This window comes from Homo sapiens, chromosome 6, assembly GCF_000001405.40.
Source record: "Homo sapiens chromosome 6, GRCh38.p14 Primary Assembly".
NCBI lineage: Eukaryota > Metazoa > Chordata > Mammalia > Primates > Hominidae > Homo > Homo sapiens.
Window position 1 is genome coordinate 149916503 of NC_000006.12, and position 14812 is coordinate 149931314.

At 50.0% G+C, this 14812-nt stretch overlaps 1 protein-coding gene and 1 long non-coding RNA gene across 7 annotated transcripts in view, besides 5 other annotated features; one reads left to right on the forward strand and one right to left on the reverse strand.

The window, feature by feature from the left end:
- Positions 1 to 3006, forward strand: part of RAET1E-AS1 (RAET1E antisense RNA 1) — a 56011-nt gene extending 53005 nt beyond the window's left edge. For both annotated transcript variants that reach the window (NR_045126.1, NR_045127.1), the window contains one exon: positions 2685 to 3006. This is a non-coding gene — a long non-coding RNA (RAET1E antisense RNA 1). The remainder of the gene's footprint in view (positions 1 to 2684) is intronic.
- RAET1G (retinoic acid early transcript 1G) lies at positions 376 to 6619 on the reverse strand. Of its 5 annotated transcripts, none has more exons than NR_130110.2 (5): positions 6424 to 6619; positions 3051 to 3314; positions 2541 to 2822; positions 1672 to 1782; positions 376 to 572 (listed from the first exon to the last, which is right to left on the reverse strand). NR_130110.2 is itself a non-coding variant. In NM_001001788.4 (5 exons), exons 1-5 carry the CDS (start codon positions 6506 to 6508, stop codon positions 410 to 412), a joined length of 1005 nt encoding a protein of 334 aa, NP_001001788.2. In that variant the 5' UTR covers positions 6509 to 6619; the 3' UTR covers positions 376 to 409. The 5 variants fall into 5 exon arrangements, 4 of the variants coding, with proteins under 4 accessions (NP_001001788.2, XP_011534102.1, XP_016866320.1 ...); NM_001001788.4 differs by having other exon boundaries at positions 1672 to 1882; XM_011535800.4 differs by having other exon boundaries at positions 376 to 1022; positions 1672 to 1882.
- Positions 801 to 1086: a silencer, noted in NCBI's record as "fragment chr6:150238439-150238724 (GRCh37/hg19 assembly coordinates)". NCBI's record gives its function as "represses an EF-1alpha promoter that drives an FKBP-Casp9 reporter gene in an ReSE screen in phorbol 12-myristate 13-acetate-treated (for megakaryocytic differentiation) K562 erythroleukemia cells {active_cell/tissue: K562(+PMA)}" and the evidence as "EXISTENCE:reporter gene assay evidence [ECO:0000049][PMID:32094911]".
- Positions 8815 to 9350: an enhancer, noted in NCBI's record as "H3K4me1 hESC enhancer chr6:150246453-150246988 (GRCh37/hg19 assembly coordinates)". NCBI's record gives its function as "activates a minimal SCP1, AML or CMV promoter by ChIP-STARR-seq in naive H9 embryonic stem cells {active_cell/tissue: H9 hESC(naive)}" and the evidence as "EXISTENCE:reporter gene assay evidence [ECO:0000049][PMID:30033119]".
- Positions 9351 to 9885: an enhancer, noted in NCBI's record as "H3K4me1 hESC enhancer chr6:150246989-150247523 (GRCh37/hg19 assembly coordinates)". NCBI's record gives its function as "activates a minimal SCP1, AML or CMV promoter by ChIP-STARR-seq in naive H9 embryonic stem cells {active_cell/tissue: H9 hESC(naive)}" and the evidence as "EXISTENCE:reporter gene assay evidence [ECO:0000049][PMID:30033119]".
- Positions 9351 to 9895: a biological region, named in NCBI's record as "H3K4me1 hESC enhancer GRCh37_chr6:150246989-150247523".
- Positions 9816 to 9895: a silencer, noted in NCBI's record as "silent region_17671". NCBI's record gives its function as "represses an Ori minimal core promoter by ATAC-STARR-seq in GM12878 lymphoblastoid cells {active_cell/tissue: GM12878}" and the evidence as "EXISTENCE:reporter gene assay evidence [ECO:0000049][PMID:35858748]".

Below are 14812 nucleotides of genomic sequence, written 5' to 3' on the forward strand. Positions count from 1 at the left end.
GTCTGAGTCCACTCTGCTCCTGGCAGGGCCATGAGCGGGCTCAGGATCTGGGGTGTGCAGGAAGGTGATGGCAAGGGAGCTGCCTCAAGGTCTGGACTCGAACCCCATGGGTCCATGGGACTGACTTTTTAAAAATTTTTTTCATGTGCAGCCTCTACTCTTCGCCTTCCACCTTAATTCCTGGAACCCAAGCCACTTTCTGTGGGAAGGCAGCCCTGCGCCCCCTCCTTTTCAATTAGGTGTACCAAGGCTCTCCCAGCCCCCTCCTTCTGGGATTACACTCATAGTTGTAGGGACCAGCCCTACAGGGCCTGTGGGTTTTTCTCTTCGTGTGCGGAGATGAGAGATCGTAGAAATAAAGACACAAGACAAAGAGACGGAAGAAAAGACAGCTGGGCCCAGGGAACCATCAAGATATGGAGACCTGTAGTGGCTCCGAATACCTGGCTGCGCCGTTATTTATTGTATACAAGGCAAGAGGGCAGGGTAAGGAGTGTGAGTCGTCTCCAATGATAGGTAAAGTCACGCGAGTCACGTGTCCACCAGACAAGGGGCGCTTCGCTATTTGGTAGCTGAGGCGGAGAGAGAGAGGACAGCTTACGTCATTGTTTCTTCTATGTATTTCTCGGACTTCAATACTTTCACTAATTCTGCTACCGCTATCTAGAAGGCGGAGCCAGGTGTACAGGGCGGAACATGAAAGTGGACCAGGAGCGTGACCCTGAAGCACAGCATCACAGGGAGACGTTTAGGCCTCCGGATGGCTGCGGGCAGGCTTGACTGATGTCAGGCCTTCCACAAGAGGTGGTGGAGCAGAGTCTTCTCTAACTCCCCCGGGGAAAGGGAAACTCCTTTTCCCGGTCTGCTAAGTAACAAGTGCCTTCCCAGGCACTGGCGCTACTGCTAGACTGAGGAGCCCACTACTGGCCCTGTCTGGGCATGACAGAGGGCTCACACTCTTGTCTTCTGGTCACTTCTCACCGTGTCCCTTCAGCTCCTGTCTCTGCATGGCCTGGTTTTTCCTGGGTTATAATTGTGGAACAGAGATTATTATAACATTGGAAAAAAGAGTAACACTACAGACTAATGATTGATAATATTCATAGATAATCATGTCTGTATTCTACGTCTAATACAACTATTCTTATTTTAAGTATTTTCTTTATTATACTGGAACAGCTTGTGCCTTCAGTCTCTTGCCTTGGCACCTGGGTGGCTTGCCGCCCACACATATCTCTCTCTTAGCCTCAGAGATGGAATCCCCCTTCCCTTGTCATACCTCATGTAAAGCTACCCTGATGCACCTAACCCAATTAAGAGGACTGCCCATGTCTGAATTCCTGCTGCCTGCAGGCCACACACCCTTCCTGAACAGAAACCTGCTCTGAATCAGGCCTGAACTTGCTAAACCCTCTCAAGCTCAACAGACCCTGAGCCTTGGTATGGCACCACTGCGCCTTTCCCTCTGGCCTTTGATGGTGAGAATCCATCAGAACTCAGGGCAGAGCTGCCCAGGTCATTTCCAACAAGCAACACAAGGTCTCATTCACCTGTCTCATGTTAGGATGAGAAGGTCCCAGCCATAGGGAGTGGGACTCTGGGAATTCTCCATCCCTGTCCTCCCTCCTCACCCACCTGCCCTTTGCTCCACTCCCAATTCTGCCCCCATACCTGTCACTCCAAAGGACTCTCCTCAGCAGCCAGGTAGGATGAAGCAGGGGAGGATGAGGAGGAGGCTGCAGGGACTGAGGGTGGTGGCCATGGCTTTGGGTCAGACTGTGCCTGGAGCATATGAGGAGACACATGATGAGGAGGCAGCAAAGGATGAGGGTGGTGGCCGTGGCCCTGGGTTGGGCTGTGCCTGAGGACATGGTGGGTGGTGCTGAAATGGAAGCACAAGAGTGACAACCCTTGTCCAGGCCCCAAATCTGAGGAGATGCCTCCTCAGCTCCTGCTGACCCAGGTCATCCTGGAAGGCAGAGGTTTTGTCCCCTCTGCTATGGGGCAGCCCCTGGGAGAGTTCCTGGGGTAGGAAGGGAGAGGGGGTGTCCCTTGGCCTCAGGGAGCTCACAGAGCTGCTGAGGGAAGCAAGGTGACAGCAAAGCCCACCCTCCTGCTGTGGCGGAAGAGGAGGTGATGCTCCAGGGTGCGGGAGGGGAGGGTCACGAGGCTGGCCTTGGAGGAGGTTTTGATGGATTTCCAGAAACAGACCAGAGGAGGAAAGGAAAAGTGATTCTCAAGAGGGAACACTAAGGAGAAAGGCCTGAAAATAGTGACACCTGCAGTTTCGAGGCTGGTGAGAAATCCACAGTGTGGGGAACAGAAGCAAGTGCAGTGAGGAAGAGGAGTCAGGAGGGAGAAGGAAGAGGAGGGTGGGAGAGCACAGGCACGCCAGCACCCCCAGGAGGAGCACCCCACGAGGAGGTCATTTTAACATAAACGTGTACACTGGGATGATTGAAGCTGAACTCAAGAATTAGTTTCTTGAGATCCCCATTTCTGATCTCATTGGAGATCCCCATTTCTTTTTCTCCTGTTACCTCCTGCACTTGGCTCCAGGGTGCTGTCCATGCCCATCAAGAAGTCCTCAAGCCATCCTGTGCAGTCTCCCATTGAGATGTAATGGAAGGACATGGTCATATCCTTGTCATTCTCCCACTTTTCTTTCATCTTTCTGGCTCCAGGATGAACCGTTGTCCACATTCTGTTTTCTGAGTCAAAGAGGAGGAAGATCTGTCCATCGAAACTGAGCTGCCAAGATCCACTGCCGTGTCCTTCGGCTTTCTGCTCACAAGACATCCTGGCCTGCAGGGTGAGGGGTTCTGCCCCCATCAAAGAGAGATCAGCTCTGGCCTTGACAGATATTGAGCCCCCATCCTCTTCCACTTGCAATTTCCTGGTCTTACTTGCTCTGCCACATCCTGGCCTTGCCTCTAGACGTCTTGCGGGGTGAGATGACCTTCCTATTTGTATTTTTACATGAAAACTATAAATGCCTCTAACCTACCACTGTATCTGCTCCCTGCTGTCCTGGGCCATCTGAAACTTACCCTTGGGTATGTAATTCTCCAGCTGAATGTCAAGCAGTTGCTCTGTAAGTATGTCCACCACCTCTCTCAGTACTGGGTTCTGTGCTTTCCAGGCCGTTGTGACATTTAGTTTCTTCCCCAGGGGACTGACGGGTGTGACTGTCTTGCTGCCACAGTCATAGTGAAGAAAAGTCTTTTCATCCACCTGGCCTTGAACCGCACACCACCGTGGTCCAGGTCTGAACTTAGGGATGACGGTGATGTCATAGCAAAGAGAGTGAGGGTCTGTGGAGAAAGGCAGGTGAGGGGTGGGTGGGGAGGAAAAGACCCCTAGATACCCCTCCTCCACACTGTGACAATAAGAGGAAGCCTCTGGAGGGCTGGGCTGGCCCAGCAAGGAGTGCCTCCTCCAGAACTGTGGTGTCCACAAGATTAAGGCGAGTGCTCCCCACTTCCATGAGGGCAAAGAGGAGGAGGAGGTCCCTGCCTGCTGAGAAACCACATGTCCCCAGACATGTCCCACTGCCCCTCTGTCCACATCGGTCAACACAGGACCTTGCTAGAGAGGTGCCAGGAGTGCTAGAGGAGGAAGGGCCTGGATGACAGAGGATCTTCAGCAGTAGCCCACGTGGACTGTGGGAGGTGGGACAGGGTGTGGGAGCTGCACCTGAGGATACTGGTGCATGGTGGGACGGAGTGAGGATGGAACCCAGTTGGATAAAGAAGAGTTAATTATCATGGTCACAGGATTTAACACGTTGGCAAAGCCCCTGGTGGTGGTGCTCATCTACTATGAGGATGCCTTCCTGAAACCTTGGACAAAGGGATGGTCCACACAGCAAGAAATAGAAAAATCTGAAAATCTAAGGCAGGCAGTAGACGGAGGGATCACAGGCTCAGAGAAGTGCCCAGGCTGGAGGGGTCTGAGTGTGAAAATCCAGAACAATGTCCATCTGCTGTGCTCATGGGAAGCCTGGAGGACTCCTGTTTACCTGGCATATAAAGAAGGCCCCATGAGAAGGCACCAGAATGGGATGAAGCTCAGGGATGCCTATTGCTGAAGGCCAGGGTTGGGGGTAGGAGATGCTCTTCCTGAAATGGGCTCCCAGTAGTAATGGGATGAAAAATCCCGAAATAACAGATTCCAGGTGGAGGTTGTCAACTGTCAGGAACAAGGAGGGTGCAATGATGGAAATGATTAGAGAAGTCACAATGCCAGCTGGAGACCTCAGTCATACAAAGCTATGCCCATGGCTCATAGAACAAAGGGGTCCAAGATCCAGAAGAGATGGAAACCCAACCTGAATAGTGCTGGATTTAAATAATTACAAGAAACAGAGATAAAACAAATGATGGATGACCAGGAGGCTGAAAGTAGCCAGTCCTTCAAGAACAAGGCTGCTTTGCCTAATTTGCAGAATAAAGCCACTTCTCAGACCGTGAACCCATGACTAGAAGAAGACACCAGTTTCCAGTGAGGAAGGACCCTTTAACCCCGCAACAAGTGCAATGATTCTTTGTGGGCTTCTCCAAACGTATTTATGGCCACTAGAGTTTGCTATGAAGGGCAATTTTGTAAACATGTAAAGGTGTGCAGGGAATATATTCTCCATTGTAACTACTCAGCTCTGCTGTTGAAGCGCAAAGGCAGCCACAGGCAATCCATGAATGAGCGAGGCTGGACCTGCCTTAAGTGCCCAATGACCCAAGACCCCCTAAGATCCTAGAGGTGCATGTGGTTCCAATGTCTAATTGGAGAATCACAACATAGATTCCATGTGAATGTTCAGAGGCAAGGCAACGCCACTCACAGCAAGGAAATCTCAACATTAAAAAGTGTCTCCTGTAGAGTACTGGGCCTTGGCAGAGATGGGGCCTTTAGCCATGGAAGGGCCGTGACCATCCAGCCTCAGAGCTGCCCATTACGGGTGGGCTCCTCACCCTCTAGGTCATTAGGAAGAGAGGTCTGGCAGTGAGAAGACACAGGTGGTTCTCCTGGGATGGGCAGAAGTAGGGCCACAGGGAACCGGGAAGCTGCACAAGCAGTTGGCCCCGATTCCCAGGACACCACGTGGCTGCACCCCCTTACCCTCAGCTTACACCTCAGGTTTCAGGGAAGGTCACTGATGGCCCCCGTGGACCATAGATGCCACTCAGCAGCAAAGGAGGGGAGAGTAGACCCTGAACCATGGGACCCCCACTCCCATCACATCCACACCACCCAGAAGCCACAGGCAAGGTAGGACCACCTTCTACTCTCCAACTGACACCTGAGACACCACTTGGAGATGACACCATAGGGGATGGGGTACTATTTGCTGGTACACTGTAATCCCCTCATCTAGGGTCAGCAACCTAGGACAGGGTCCAAATCTGGTCCCCCCTATTTGAAGGTTGCCATTGCCTGCTGTTGCTCTGCAAAGGGACAGGACTGGACACTGAGACGGAGAACCCAAGGCCTGCAAAGATCACAGGGCATCCTTCCTCCCTTTCTAGAAAGGGTTTGCTGACCCCTGTCTACACACTGACTATTCTCTATGATGCTGGCGCCCCAGTAGGAAGAACAGGCAGGTCTGGGCCCCAAGGGCAGAAGTGGGTGCCTCTACTCACCAGAGTTCCCAGGGTCATCCTGGAGGAAATGGTGCTTCCCATCCCCCCTGCACAGGTTCTGTGGGGAGCTTGGGGTGTGTTTGCTGGGGTGTGTCCTCAGGCAAGAGGCAGAAGGTGTCACGTGGTGTAAGAGGTCGCGAGGGCCCCTTCATGGATGGGGAGACCTCTGGGGTGACCAGCTGGGCTGAGGTGGGGAGTAAGAGGATGTTACCTGGGTGGTGGCAGTGGATGGTGAGGGGAGGGTGGGAAGTGTCTGCTGAGCCGCTGGGTGCAGGTGAGTGTCTACAGGAAAGTGCAGGGAAAAATTCAAGGGCACGCAGCCCTGGGGGTGCTGGAAGGTTTGTGTGGTTGAGAGCGGGTGAGAACAGAGCAGGCTGGTGGCTGGTGGGAGTGTCTGTGATTGTGTCCCTGTGCAACCCCACTTCACCCCTGTCCTGACCCCAGCTCGGATTCTGGGGGCTCTGGTTTCTCCTTCCCGAGGGCGGGTGGGACTGCCGGGCTGCACTAGGGATCCCCGCTCCACGTCGCCCTCTGCAGCCCTCTGGCCCCTCCACTCTCCGGGGGTTCCTTTCCAGCCTCCTCTCTGACCAGCTCCTCCCCTCGGAGGATAAGTAGCCTCTGGGAACGGACCCGGCGGGAAGGAGACGCGGAGGGAAACTGAGCGGGGGCGCAGTCCGGGGTGATCGCACGGGTCCTTCCAGAAGCCTCCCCTCCTCTGAAGCCCACAGTCCACAGCCCCCCACGGTTGGCCTCCGCCCCGCTTAGGCTCCATCCCCGAACTCACCGGCCAGCCCGGTCCTGCACCAGCTGGACAGCAGGAGCAGAAGCGGGAGGCGTAGAAGGAACGCGGGGCTGGCGGCCGCTGCCATTGGGGAGTTGGATCGCAGGGGACAGCAGAAGCGAAGCCCAGCCCGTGGATCACCTGGCGGCTCGCAGGCTGTCTGAATGCAGCCCGTCTGAATGCAGCCCTAAACTCCAGTAAGCCCTAAACTCTAGCACTCCTTCTGCCCCGCCCCTCGGAGGAAACACACCCCCTTTGCTGAGCCGCTAGCCAATCAGGTGTCTCTCAGCCAAGTTGCTCATCCAAGTCTACCCCACTTTCTACTGCAGCGCTCGCGCACTTCCCCCTGCTTCAGCCAGTCAGACTTTGCTGGCTGCCTGCCCGGGACCAGTCCTGCCAAAGGCTTCTTTCCATGACCCCCTCATGTAATCATCACCGCAATTTTTTCATTTTGTATTAATCCAATGTGGATACCGATGCACAGAAAGGTGAAGAAAATGCACAGAAGTGTTCAGCCGCGACAGGGTCTCCCTGTCCTCGCCTGTACCTGCGACACCCGCCTTCCCTCTCCCTGCGTTGCAGAGTGCTCCCAACCCACCGTCCTGTGCGCAGATCCAAGCCCAGTCCCATCCCCGCGGCCTCATCCCAAATCCCGAGTGGACGTGGTTATAGCCTGGGCTAGGTTTGTTTGTTTGGTTGGTTGGTTTTTCTTTCTTTTCTTTTTTTTCTTCGTGACAGAGTCTCGCTCTGCCGCCCAGGCTGGAGTGCAGCGGCGCGATCTGGGTTCGCTGCAACCTCTGCCTCGCGAATTCAAACGATTCTCCTGCTTCAGCCTCCCAAGTAGCTGGGACCACAGGTGCGCGCCACCAAGCCCGGTTAAGTTTTGTATTTCAGTGGGGACGGGGTTTCACCATGTTGCCCAGGCTGGCTTTGGACTCCTGGGCTCAAGTGATCGGCCCGACACGGCCTCTCAAAGTGCTGAGATCACAAGGGTGAGCCACCACGCCTGGCCCGGGGCTAGATTTTATTACAGAAGCACCAGGTCTTCAGAAGCTTCAAAGAAGATATTGTACACTAAACAATTGGTTAAGATAGTAAATTTTATGTTCTACTTTTTTACCAAAATTAAACAGCTTTAAAAATTATCTTAAAAATATGTGTCTTGCTGGGATCTGCCCAATTCGGATTGGCAAAAAGACTCTGCTCATTAAAATCTTTGCATTTTAATGCAAAGCATTGAAAACCTTGTCTCTAAAATCACAACCTGTGAGGCACCTTGCTGATTTAGAAAGCACATCAGAGAGATTGACCCTGAGCTCCCCTTAGAACAGTGCCCCACCAGGTGTGGGGATGGCCCAGGGGACTCAGCAGAGCAGGTTCAAATGAAAGCTCCCCATAGCTACTAACTGCCAGCGCTTGCTTTGGGCCTGTTCCCCCTGGGCAAGGACCAGCCATCCTTCCAAGCCGCGCACAAATACCCCCTCCCATGTGTGTCCCTCATCTTCCCACATGAAGGAACACCCTCCTGCTCCCTGAGGCCTGGATCCACAGTGATGGAGCGTATCCGGATCTCCCTGTGTGACAAATGCTCACACATTTCTTTGCTTCTCTACTAGAAGCATGAGGTCTTTGAGACTATACTAGATCTGTGTACAGCTTTTGAGGGAAAAAAGCCCTAGTGGCCTACTGTTGCTCAATTGGAATGTGATCAATTGTGTTTCCCATGGGAGCAGGAGGCAAGGGAGGGGTCTGTGCGTGCGTGGAGCTCACTTTGCAGTACACCCATCTGTGGCCAACCATTGATGCCTGGATCCATGGCTGCACCCACACCTCTGCTCAGTCCCTGGACGGTCCCTGCGGCCATCCTCAAAAGGAAACCCCAATTGTATCCTTGTCTTAATTATCATGAGGGCATCTGGAAGTGGTGGCAGAAGCCAGAGACAGGTGAGGGTCCCAGTGGTTCCTGGCAGCTGTGAAGGGCTTAGCTTAGGGTGAGGACTGGACAGAGCCCCTGGGTCCCATTCTGCCCCCAGCCACTCAGGCAATATCCTCTTTTCCCCTTCTCTCTCAGCCTCTTCTCACCCTAGGGCTGTACCCAAAGCTCTGAATGAGACTGTCCCTGCCCCGCCCCATCCACTCCTGGTCCAGCTCAGCAGTGACCTTGGAACTCCAGGAGCAGCTCAGTACCCCTGTCTCCGAGTCAGCTCTGCTCCAGGCAGGGCCAGAATCTGGAGTGTGCAGGAGGCCGGATGGCAGGGGCATTGCCCCAGGACTGAGCCGTATTCTGAGGGTTCCCAGAGACCTGACCTCCTACTTGTATACAGTCTTTTCAGTCAGCGTCTGCCTTAAAGGCTGTGACCCAGGCACCTTCCCTGGGAATTAACTCCAGCATTGTCCTCTGGGTCGACACAGTCCTTGGCAGCCTCTCCTTCCTGGGGTTACACCCAGTTCCTCTGCTCTTCTCCAGTGGATGGAATCTCCTTCTCCTTGACACACAGCATCTGGAGCCACCAATCTGCTGCCCCACTCAAATGTGAGGACCGCACATGCCTGAGCTCCTGCTGTCTGCACACCACGCACCGTGGGGGTTCCTTATGACCAGAGACACAGTCTGAAACAGACCTGAATTTGCTAAACCCTCTAGAGCTCGACAGGACCTAAGCCTTGATATGGTTCTGTGTGCTCCTCCCAGGGCGCCCGCTGTCCCCGAGCTCCGGGCCTGAGTGCTGGCTGGCGGAGACCCACAGTGGGTGCCCCGCTCCCGGACGATGCCCCTGGGCTTCCAGATCCAGAGCCTCGGGACGAAACTGTTTCAGGAAGACCCGGAAGGACTCGCCGGTCGCGGCAAGGGACAGGCGGTTCCTGAGACAGGAGGAGCCAGGAAATGCGGGGCCTGGTGGGGTGAGGAGCACGGGGTTCCTCCTTCATCCTCGCGGGGACTTTGCCACCGGCTCAGTGTGGAGGCCTCACCGTCCCGCCCGGATCCGTGGGGCTCCGACAGTGTGGCCCCTGCGAGGACCCCCCCCATCCTCCTCGCCCTGGGGCTGCTGCGGGAGGGCGCCCGGGCAGCACTAGGTCCTGAGTGTCCAGGGTCCGGCAGGGGCTTCCCGTTGTCGCCTCCCTGACCCCGCCGCTTGCGGTCCAGGGCTGCTGGTTTCTCCGCTGGTCTGGGAGGCCCTAGCATGGACGTCGTGAGGCGGAGAAAACCTTGGGATGGGTGGAAAAGAAGGATTGGAGGGAGGGCGGCAGAAAGGGAGAGGAAGGAAACAGGGCCGGAGAACAATGAGAAACCCCCACCACGAAAATGGGGAGAGGGGGACACGCGCACAGCCCCCACACTCCACCGACTCTCCGTCTCCTGCTCTCTGCCCAGTAAGGAACACAGGCCCCACCCCCTCCACCCTCACTGTGTTTGGGATCAGCCATTTCAGCGGGGTGAGGCGTCCCCTTGTGGGTGCGATTGGCATTTCCCTGAGGGCTGTGAACACTGAACACCTTTTCCTGGGCTCACTGCGATTTGCATTCTTCTTCTGATGCCAGCGGGCAAGGGGAGGTCCCCAAACGCCGGTGGGACCTCGACTCCAGCCAGTGTCCAGATTCTTGATATTGCCGGGGAAATTAATTCAAGGACCAGTAGGAAATAGAGAAAGGACGGAGATTTATTGTAAAAGGCAAAGTACACAGTCAAGTAAAGGGAGTGCAGGGGAACTCGAGAGAGAAGCAGGTGCAAGTTTGGGGCTGCCACCTTTCTGGGTTTCTTTAACCAAGGAGTGGAATATTCATGAAAATTCCTGGAAGAAGGTAGAGATTTCTCAGAACTGTGGTGCCCCGCATTTTTACACTAAATATAAGTGTTCTCAGAACTGCTCAGGAGCTGGCTGGTGTGTGTTTAGTATGTTAATCAGCATGTAATGAGGTCCTAGGTGAAACCTAGGTCAAATGCAGGGCCTTGTTGGGTCCAGTCATTCTTAGCCAGCTTGGTCCACATGCTGTTTTTCAGCATCTTATCAGCCCAGAGCCTCTGCACATATTTCAACAGATTCCTTTTGCTAGTCACCTGAAACTGCTGCCCAAAATTTTCTATTCTTTTGAGACCACCGTGTAGTATACCTGTCTTACTTTGGAGAAATGTCTATTCAAATTCCTTGCATATATTTAAATTGGGTTATTTCACTTTATAATGTTGAGTTGCAACATTATATATTATATATAATATATAATTGCAATTATATTTTGTTGCAATATTATATATTCAGAATACCAGTCCCTTACCTGATATATGATTTTTATTTTATTTTTTAAAATTTATTTATTTATTTATTTTTTAATTTTTAAATAATTTTTAAAAATTATACTTTAAGTTCTAGGGTACATGTGCACAACGTGCAGGTTTGTTACGTAGGTATACTTGTGCCATGTTCGGTTGCTGCACCCATCAACTCGTCATTTACATTAGGTATTTCTCCTAATGCTATCCCTCCCCCAGCCCCTCACCTCCCAATAGGGCCCAGTGTGTGATGTTCCCCGCCCTGTGTCCATGTGTTCTCATTGTTCAACTCCCACCTATGAGTGAGAACATGTGGTGTTTGGTTTTCTGTCCTTGTGATAGTTTGCTTAGAATGATCGTTTCCAGCTTAATCCATGTCCCTGCAAAGGACATGAACTCATCCTTTTTTATGGCTGCATAGTAGTCTGTGTTGTATATGTGCCACATTTTCTTAATCCAGTCTATCATTGATGGACAACTCTTTGCTATTGTGAATAGTGCCACAATAAACATATATGTGCATGTGTCTTTACAGTAGCATGATTTATAATCCTTTGGGTATATACCCAGTAATGGGATTGCTGGGTCAAATGGTATTTCTAATTCTAGATCCTTGAGGAATCACCACACTGTCTTCCACAATGGTTTAACTAATTTACACTCCCACCAACAGTGTGAAAGCGTTCCTCTTTCTCCACATCCTCTCCAGCATCTGTTGTTTCCTGACTTTTTAATGATTACCATTCTAACTGGTGTGAGATGGTATCTCATTGCGGTTTTCATATGCATTTCTCTGATGGCCAGTGATGATGACCATTTTTTCGTATGTCTGTTGGCGGCATAAATGTCTTCTTTTGAGAAGTGTCTGTTCATATCCTTTGCCCACTTTTTGATGGGGTTGTTTTTTTTTTCTTGTAAATTTGTTTAAGTTCTCTGTAGATTCTGGATGTTAGCCCTTTGTCAGATGGGTAGATTGCAAAGATTTTCTCCTATTCTGTAGGTTGCCTGTTCACTCTGATGATAGTTTCTTTTGCTGTGCAGAAGCTCTTCAGTTTAATCAGATCCCATTTGTGTACTTTGCCTTTTACTGCCATTGCTTTTAGTGTTTTAGTCATGAAGTCTTTGCCCATGCCTATGTCCTGAATGGTATTGCCTAGGTTTTCTTCTAGGGTTTTTATGGTGTTAGGTCTAACATTTAAGTCTTTAATCCATCTTGAGTTAATTTTTGTATAAGGTATAAGGAAGGGATCCAGTTTCAGCTTTCTACCTATGACCAGCCAGTTTTCTCAGCACCATTTATTAAATAGGGAATCCTTTCCCCATTGCTTGTTTTTGTCAGATCAAAGACCAGATGGTTGTAGTTGTGTAGTGTTATTTCTGAGGCCCCTGTTCTGTTCCATTGGTCTATATATCTGTTTTGGTACCAGTACCATGCTGTTTGGTTACTGTAGCCTTGTAGTATAGTTTGAAGTCAGGTAGAGTGATGCCTCCAGCTTTGTTCTTTTGGCTTAGGATTGTCTTGGCTCTGCAGGCTTTCTTTTGGTTCCATATGAAGTTTAAAGTAGTTTTTCCAATTCTGTGAAGAAAGTCAGTGGTAGCTTGATGGGGATAGCATTGAATCTATAAATTACCTTGGGGAGTATGGCCATTTTCACAATTTCCTATCTATGAGTATGGAATGTTCTTCCATTTGTTTGTGTCCTCTTTTATTTAGTTGAGCAGTGGTTCATAGTTCTCCTTGAAGAGGTCCTTCACATCCCTTGTAAGTTGGATTCCTAGGTATTTTATTCTGTTTGTAGCAATTGTGAATGGGAGTTCACTCATGATTTGGCTCTCTGTTTGTCTATTATTGGTGTAAAGGAATGCTTGTGATTTTTGCATGTTTATTTTGTATCCTGAGACTTTGCTGAAGTTGCTTGTCAACTTTCCGCCAACAACCACACAGTCTGCTCCCACACACTCTCTACCACACAAGCCCTCCAGCACCCCCAGGGTTCTCTGCCCTTGATCTTTCCCCTGCACTTTGCTGCAGACACTCACCTGCACCCAGGGGCTCACCAGACATTTTTCACCCCTCTCCTCACCATTCACTGCCACCACCCAAGTCACATCCTTTAGTTCCCCATCTCAGCCTGGCACTTTTACCCACACAAACCTCACTCACCTCTCCATCCATGAAGGGTCCTCACCACTTTCTCCAGCAACCAGGGGGACCCAGGACCCACTTACCAGGAATCCAGAGTCTTTTTCAGACCCACAGAGGATGATTCTTCTGTGTAGCACTAGGTGAGCCTGACATAATTTAAGTGGTGGTTGGAGGCTGAGGGAACGGCTGAATGAATGAGAGTTGTGGGAGTGAATGGGCTCAGAAGAAAACCCCAGGTGCAGAAGGGGAGCTGCAGTGGATGCTGTAGCCCCCAGAGGCCTGAAGGTGGCGGTACCGTGGTTGGAGACCTCCAGGCTGGGCAGAATTTGGAAATATGTGTAGTCACCTGGGTGCCCACAGAGTTTTTCCAAAGAGGAGAAATTTTGGCTTACAACAGGTATAGAGCTCCATCAGCATAGAATCTTTTAATAAACTTGTTGATCACAGGACAGGAAATTGCTGTCTTCAGCCCATTTGATTGAGACCAGAGTGTACTCAGGACAGAAAAATCCTAACCAGAGCCATTGGCAAGTGAAGGAAAGAAAAGGCGTTCAAATAGGAAAAGAAAAAGTCAAACATGTCTCTTTGCCAGTGATGTGATTCCATACATAGTAAACCCTAAAGACCCTGTCGGAAGGCTCCTGGAACTGACATATCAATTCAGTAAAGTTTCAGGATACAAAATCAATGTACACAATCAAGAGCATTCTTATACACCAATAATATTCTAGCTGAGAATGAAAGCAAGAACACAATCGCATTTACAAAACCAACAAAGAAAAGTAAATGCCTAATAGTTAATCTAACCAAAGAGATGAAAGATCTTTCCAAGAAAACTACAAAACGTGGCTGAAAAAAAATCAGAGACAACACAAATAAGTGGAAAAAATATTTCATGCTCATGGGTTGGGAGAATCGATATAGGCAAAATGGCAATACTTCCAAAAGCAATTTATAGATCCAACGCTATCCCTATCAAAATACCAATGTCATTTTTCACAGAAAAATCTAACCTAAAAATTATTGGGAATTTAAAAAGAGCCCAAATAGCCAAAACAATCATAAGCAAAAAGAACAAAGCCAGAGACATCACATTGCCCGACTTCAAACTATAATATAAGGCTACAGTGATCAAAACAGAATGGTACTGGTACAAAAATAGACACTTAGATCAGTGGAACAGAATAGAGAACTCAGAAAGAAACCTTCACACCTACAGCCATCTAACCTTCAACAAAATCAACAAAAATAAGCAATGGGGAAAGACTCCCCATTCAACAAATGGTACTGGGATATCCATGTGCAGAAGAATGAAACTGAACCTCTACATTTCACCATATATGTAAAATAACTTGATATGGATTAAAGATTTAAATGTAAGTCCTAAAACTATAAAAATTCTGGAAAATAACCTAGGAAATACCACTCTGGACGTAGGGCCTGGCGAAGATTTCATGATGAAGACAGCCAAAGCAATTGCAACCAAAACTGAAAATTGCCAAATGGGACTTCATTAAACTGAAGAGCTTCTGCACAGCAAAAGAAACTAGGAACACAGTCAACAGTCTATAAAATGGGAGAAATGTCTGCAAACTATGCATCTGACAAGCGTCGAATATGCACAATCTACAAGGAAATTAAACAATTAAACAAGCAAGAACAAAAAACCCAGTTAAAAAATAAGCAAAGAACGTGAACAGACACTTTTCAAAAGAAGACCTACAAGTGGCCAAGAAACATGAAATAATGCTCAATATGAGCAATCATCAGAGAAATGCAGATCAAAACCACAGTGAGGTACCATCCCATACCCATCAAAATGGCTATCCTTAAAATTTCAAAAAAACCACAGATATTGGTGAGGCTGAGAAGAAAAGGGAACACTTAGACACTTTTGCTGAAAAGGCAAAGTAGTACTAGTTCAGCCACTATGGAAAGCAGTTTGGAGATTTCTCAAAGAACCAAAAATAGAACTACCA